Genomic DNA, 6000 nt, shown 5'->3' on the forward strand with positions numbered 1-6000 from the left:
TGACCCCCAGACACAGCACTGGCCACAAGGTGGTGAAATGGGCAAGGTAACCCAGGAAAACTCACCTGTGGAAATCTCCATCTCCTAAAGGACAGACATGCACACAGCTTTATAGAGATGCAGATAGATGTACAGGCTGATACTGAGCACACACACACACACAAAGGATCATTGTCACAGTCACAAAACACCCACCTTCCAGCCACCAACCCAAGAGACCACAGGAGGTGTCTGCCGTGTGGGGATCACAGCCCCAGAAGTCCCCCAACACGCCAATTGCCTTCCTCCCATCCCCTCACTCCTGGGTGGGGGTGGCTTTGTGCCCTTTTGTCCTCCACTGCTCAGCCTCTTTTCCTGTTCAGGTATAGAGGAGGAGTTGGGAGGGTTGTGGAGGAGAAATTCTGAGTCCTTACACCCTGTGCCAAGTGGGATCCTGGGGAAAGTCTGCAGGGATGTCACAGCCCCACAGCAATAGTTGCTGGATTTCCTAATTAGAACCGCCTCTCTGCTCAAATCTCAAAAAGTACTTCGGAAAGATGAAAAGGAGAGCATGGTACTCCACTCTAAGACTTCCTGGAGGTGCTGTGGAGAGTGGGGGTGCTGAGGCCATGGACAGGCTTGTGAAGAGGGTGGCTAGGACAGAGAAAGCTCGGCAACTGTCTTTGCCAGTCAGATTCCATCAGAGGACTTTCTTTCATTAACCTCAGATAGACTTCTGACTCTGATCCCAGACAGAGCCCTGCTCCAAACCTCAGTCTAGCCTGTAACCCTGACCTAAAACAGACCTCTGAGTCTAATCCCAGAATGATCCTTAATCCTGGTCAAAGATTGACCCTGTCTCAAAGTCCAGACTGAATCCCAGTACTACCAAGTATCACTTTGGCTACAAAAGTATGACTGGCCCCTTGTAGACTGCCCCAAAGCTGCGGCACAGCTCAACCCCTGAGGCACTTGGGAGCACAAGTGTGTTCTAGGAGGGAATATTTGCCTCATTCTAGCCTTGGGATGATAAGCCTGTTGCCTAGTGGTCATCCCTCTCCCTCCGGGCTGGTTGTAGGAACTCCCAGACTGCCACGCCCCACCACACACACACACACACACACACACACACACACACACACACACACAGAGACAACTCTTTCCCATAGGCCCAGAGCATACCCCCAGGCTTCAGCTATTGCCTGCAGTGCTGCAGTTCAGGGCCTGCGTCACACGACCCTGTAGCCTTTCTGGCACTTTGAAATCAGTCAGAGCAGCCTGGGACATGAGTAAGGAGATGCTGGTTCAAGTGGAGCTCTGCCTGGTGACATTTGCAGTCTTTGGCAGAAAGGGCCTGGGAAATACAGAAGGTAGGCCTCAGGCACTCGGAATATGCAGGCAATGGGCAAGCACAGCCTCTGCACCCACTTCCCTAGCTCAGAAAACACTGCATACAGGGGCAGGTCTGCCTAAAGTCCTGCTGCTCACAAAGACACAAAGCTACACAGCGGTACTGTCTGCCCTGGACTTGCTACACCCAGGAGAATGAAGGCATTACCCCTTACAAGTCCCTTACATGCGTGCAGTCCTGTGTAGCCAGTAATTCTCTTCCACAGCTATTATATTTCAGTGAGATAAAATAGTGAGATAATACTATTTTTAGATATTAGATTTACTTGTTACATTTTGCATTGATGAGAAAACAGAGGGCCAGAGTCCCTCAATGCCCACTCCCGCCACACATACACACACACACACACACACACACACACACACACACACACACACACACTGTATTGTCCTGTTTCCCCTCCCACCACACAAGCACACATCTCCAGGAGCCATGAGATCCTGTCCATTCGGCAGCTTTCTCTTTGTTTAATGTCCATGCTTCTGACAACTAAAGCCGACAACAGAAGGAGCTGTCAATTTTACACTCAATTTTGTATAGTTTTGGCCTTGAATTTTTTCAATTGATGCTAATTTGCTTTTTTTCCCCTAAAATTATTTCTAATCCTTCCACCCGGAGCCAAACAGAAAGGGGGAAAATGTCCAGGATCAAGACGACCACTTGGCCCTACTGGCCAGGGAGTCCAGAGAGCAAAGAGACCAGGAGGCAGTGAGCAGGAGGCAGAGCCGTGTGTTCAGGGACCAGAAGAGTTTGCGAAAGCCCTCCCAGCCTCTGGCCTGCACCTTGGGCTGTCTAGCCTGAGGGACAAAGCCCAGGATTTCGCCTCAGGGAGCTCTTTGCTCTTAGTCCTGTCCTGCCTTGCTGGCATGAAGGAGTCCTTGGAAAACTCAGCTCTCGGCTCCTTCTCATTCTTCCCAGGGCCTCGGGCTGGCTCCCTTCTGTTCTAAGTCTTCTTGGTACACTGCCTGACAGTGGCGGGGCCCTTTGCCTGCAAGATACCAAGTCCCATGGGGAAACGACATTTCTGAGGAGCTATGGAGGAGAGGGACCTGGGGCGGCAGGTCCTGCCCAGACCCTTCTCCAGAGCCAGAGCAGAAACTGTGACTCCGGTGGGTCAGGGATGCCGCTTTCCCCTGGAACCCAGCTTGTGGCCCCAGATATTCATCCCGAGGCCCAGGTGCCTACCCTTCCCCCACTTCGTGCCCTCCCTCCAGAGCCGGCGCCACAAGATCGGCAGCCCCCATCCAGTGCCCAGTCCTCAAGGGCAGCTTAGAGGGCGCTCCCTGCCTGTGCCCTGGCTGTTCTGACAGGGGCTGGGATCCCTGCTGTCCAGGCTGGGTGGGGATAGGGGTGTATGGTGGCACTCAACCCAGCTCAGCTTGGAAATCACCGCGGTACCAGGAATTCTGCCTTTAGGGGCTAAACTCTTCTCCTCCCCCCACCCCTTGCAGCTTCAGGGGCTCTGAGGCTGTGTAGAGAATTCACTGACCCCCGAAAACCACCGCCTGCCAGAAACCCACCCAGCCCACCCGCGCCTTGGAGAGGCCATCCTGCTGTTTCAGTGTTGCTGAAACAGAGCTGGGTTCTGGGCTCTGTGTGTTTATTTCCTAAAGGCTGGCTTCTTCTCCTTCTTTGTTCCTTAGTGCCACTTGCTCCCACCCCACCCCCAGGTATCTTCGGATTTTGATTTCGTTTTGTTTTAGATAACAACCACTATCCAGGCATCTCTACCTGGCAGAGCCAGATGCAGGCACAGCCTGGCCCCTCACTCCCAGCCCCTCAGAGAGGAACAGTGAGGAGGGAGCCCCTCACCCACTCCTCTGCAGCCTTCTACGAAGGCGGTGGCCTTTGGGAAAGAACTTTGCTTCTTTCCCCTTTGCCTGAATATGAAACAAGCCTCACGTCATACCTCATCTCAGAAATCTCAGCTTCAGAGACTTGCCTCAAAAGGAATTTTCAAAAAGAAGTGGAAATACCCCCATCATCCCCTGTCAAAGCCCCAAACTCAGTCCTTTTCCTCCCACCCCACACCCAACCCCAGTGAAAGCAATCCAAAAAAGGACTTGCCAATGGAGAGGACGGGTAGGTGCGAAGAACGCAGCTGACAGCTGTGTCCAAATCAGCACGGCCTGGAAAAGAGTAGCCTGCTCGGTGGCAATGGGACACCGGCAGTGCCCCAAGCTGGCTGTGGCTGGCAGCGACACTGCTGCAGTGATGGCGTTCCCTCAGGCCCGGGGAGCCAAGAGCCCTTTATAGCCTGAAACCTGCCCTGGCACCGCCTACTGGGCGGTTGCAACGAGGGCCTGCAACTAGGGGAGTCTCTAGGAGCTGGGAGGGCATTCGTCCCAGGACCCCAGGGCCAGGGCCCCACACACAAGAATCTGGGATTCAACCTCCTCCCACCAAGGCAACTGTATGTCCTGGTATGTGTACGAGACTGTGTGTGTGTGTGTGTGTGTGAGTGTGTGTGTGTGTGTGAGTGGGCATGTGCTCGTGCTTAAACGTCCATTCAAAGACCTCAGATCTCATTCCCTCATCCTCTTTCTCTGGCAGTAACAGTTTTTGAAAGGATGGGGAGAGCAGTGTGTTTCTGCTCAGTTTATCAAATTACACTCAGTGACAAAGGACTGAAGTGCATTTTCTTGAAGGCTTGACAATTGGGATCCAGGAAGAAAAAAGAGGCATGACAGAGAACCCAGAGCTTTTGTCGAAGGTAAAACACGGATATGAAAAGAGGGGGGTGTGGTTGGGTGGCTTTCAGTGAATTTGTCTTCATGTTGCTTGGTGTTAAAAACTGCTTCCCCCCACCCTCCACCCAAGCTACAAACATCTCACAGATCCCAGAAATTGCAAGATTGTTGATTTTTAAAAGGAACACTGTTCATTTTGGCACAGGCTGAATCAGACAAGCTGGGGCACAGCCTCCTCCCGCAGGGCCCCCAGGTTCTCTTTCCAGCCTCCCATGCCAGGGAAGCCTCCTCTGAGAGGTCACTTACCAAGATCCAGTGCCCTCCATACTGCTCACTTCAGTCTGTCCAGCCAGCTTCTCCTTAGGGGTACAGTTGGGACAGGAATGGGGTGGGCTTCTCCCTGCCATTCAAAGTTCTGTCCTGCACTTGAACTCCGAGGGTTGCTAGATGGAGAAGAATGGACTCTGGGGGCAGGTTTGGCCTGGAAGCAGAGCACACAGGGGCCCTGGACTGTTTATCTCAGAGGTTCGCATTCTTTGGGAGCAGAAGGGAAGCCAACAACCTAAGTGACCAGCCTCAGGTGCAGAAGGCTAAGAGGAAAAATATCCCCTTATCTAGAGCTTGGAGACGATACCTGAAGCAAGTCCACCCTGCCTGCTGTTCCCAGCTGGCTTTTGTTCATAAGCCCACCACAGGCAGACCAGCCAACTAACCAGGAGCCTCGCCCAGAGACCTCAGAGAGCAGAGTCAACCTGAGAATCTAGTTGGCAGAGCTCTCCATTCCCAAGTCCAAAATGCTACCAAATCACTTCCTCTCGCCTGAGGCTGAGACTCCTGCCCACCGCCTCTCAGGAGATGGAGAGGCAGAGCAGAGAGGCTGGGTGGTGGCCTGCCTGAATATCTACCTTTCTTCTCATGCCTACAGCCCAGCTCCAAGCTCACAGGGGCCCTGCTGCTGGAGCTTTAGCTAGTTTCTTCTCCAGACACTGGTGTGGCGGCTGGAGCATAAGAGAACAATTTCCGGCGAGACTCCCACTCCCCATCTCCACTGTTCTGACAGCCAAGGTTATTCTGGCACATGCCTGTGAAGATTTCACCTGGTCCCCCACTGCCTGGGCCTGACCACTCTGCCCAAGAAGTTCTTGGAAGAACTGTTGCCTTTCTAGTACATTGTGTCCATCAGCATCCCCACCAAAGCTCTATGCTTTCTGTCAAACCCAGCTTCAATACAAGCTCCTTGGTGCCACACCCCCAGCAACCAGATGGCAGCTCTGATATCCTTTCTGTATGGAAAATCCGGAGCACCTCTGAGTCTCTCTTCTAATTTTCCCTCCATTGGTTTCATTCTTTCCTCACTATCCTGCTATTCCAAATGTATTAATTCTTCATGCTTCCAAACAGGCAGAGTGGCTTAGTAGCTAAGAACAAGGGTTCTGGAGTCAGTTAGAAGTAGGCTTAAAATCTGCTCTGCCACTTACTGGCTTGAGCAATATACTTTACCTATCTAGGCCTCAGGTGCTTCTCCAGTGTGGAGAATGGGTTAGAACAGAGTGGGAGTTGAGGCAGGGAGACCAGTTAGGAGACTATGGTGATAACTCAGGTAATAACAGTAAAAGTGATAATAATAACAAAGTAATAAAAACTAACACTTATTTAGCACCTTCCTACCTGCCAGGCAGTTTAAAAAGCACTTCACTTATTTCAGCTGGCCCTCACAGCAACCCCAGGAGGTGGACAGGTAGATACTATTATCCTTGCTTTACAGAGGAAGACTCTGAGATACTAAGTGGTTCAGTAGCTTGCCCAAGTTCATCCATCTGTACTTTTGAGGTTAAATTTAATCTCCTCTAAAATTCAAATCCAGGGAATGTGGATTAGAATCTGAGCTGTTAGCTGGCATACTAAAGACTAAATGAAGCT

At 51.8% G+C, this 6000-nt stretch overlaps 1 annotated feature.

Annotated features, from left to right (window-relative positions):
- Positions 254–429: a silencer, noted in NCBI's record as "fragment chr2:72378306-72378481 (GRCh37/hg19 assembly coordinates)". NCBI's record gives its function as "represses an EF-1alpha promoter that drives an FKBP-Casp9 reporter gene in an ReSE screen in K562 erythroleukemia cells {active_cell/tissue: K562}" and the evidence as "EXISTENCE:reporter gene assay evidence [ECO:0000049][PMID:32094911]".

Source organism: Homo sapiens, chromosome 2 (genome assembly GCF_000001405.40).
Source record: "Homo sapiens chromosome 2, GRCh38.p14 Primary Assembly".
Classification (NCBI taxonomy): Eukaryota; Metazoa; Chordata; class Mammalia; order Primates; family Hominidae; genus Homo; species Homo sapiens.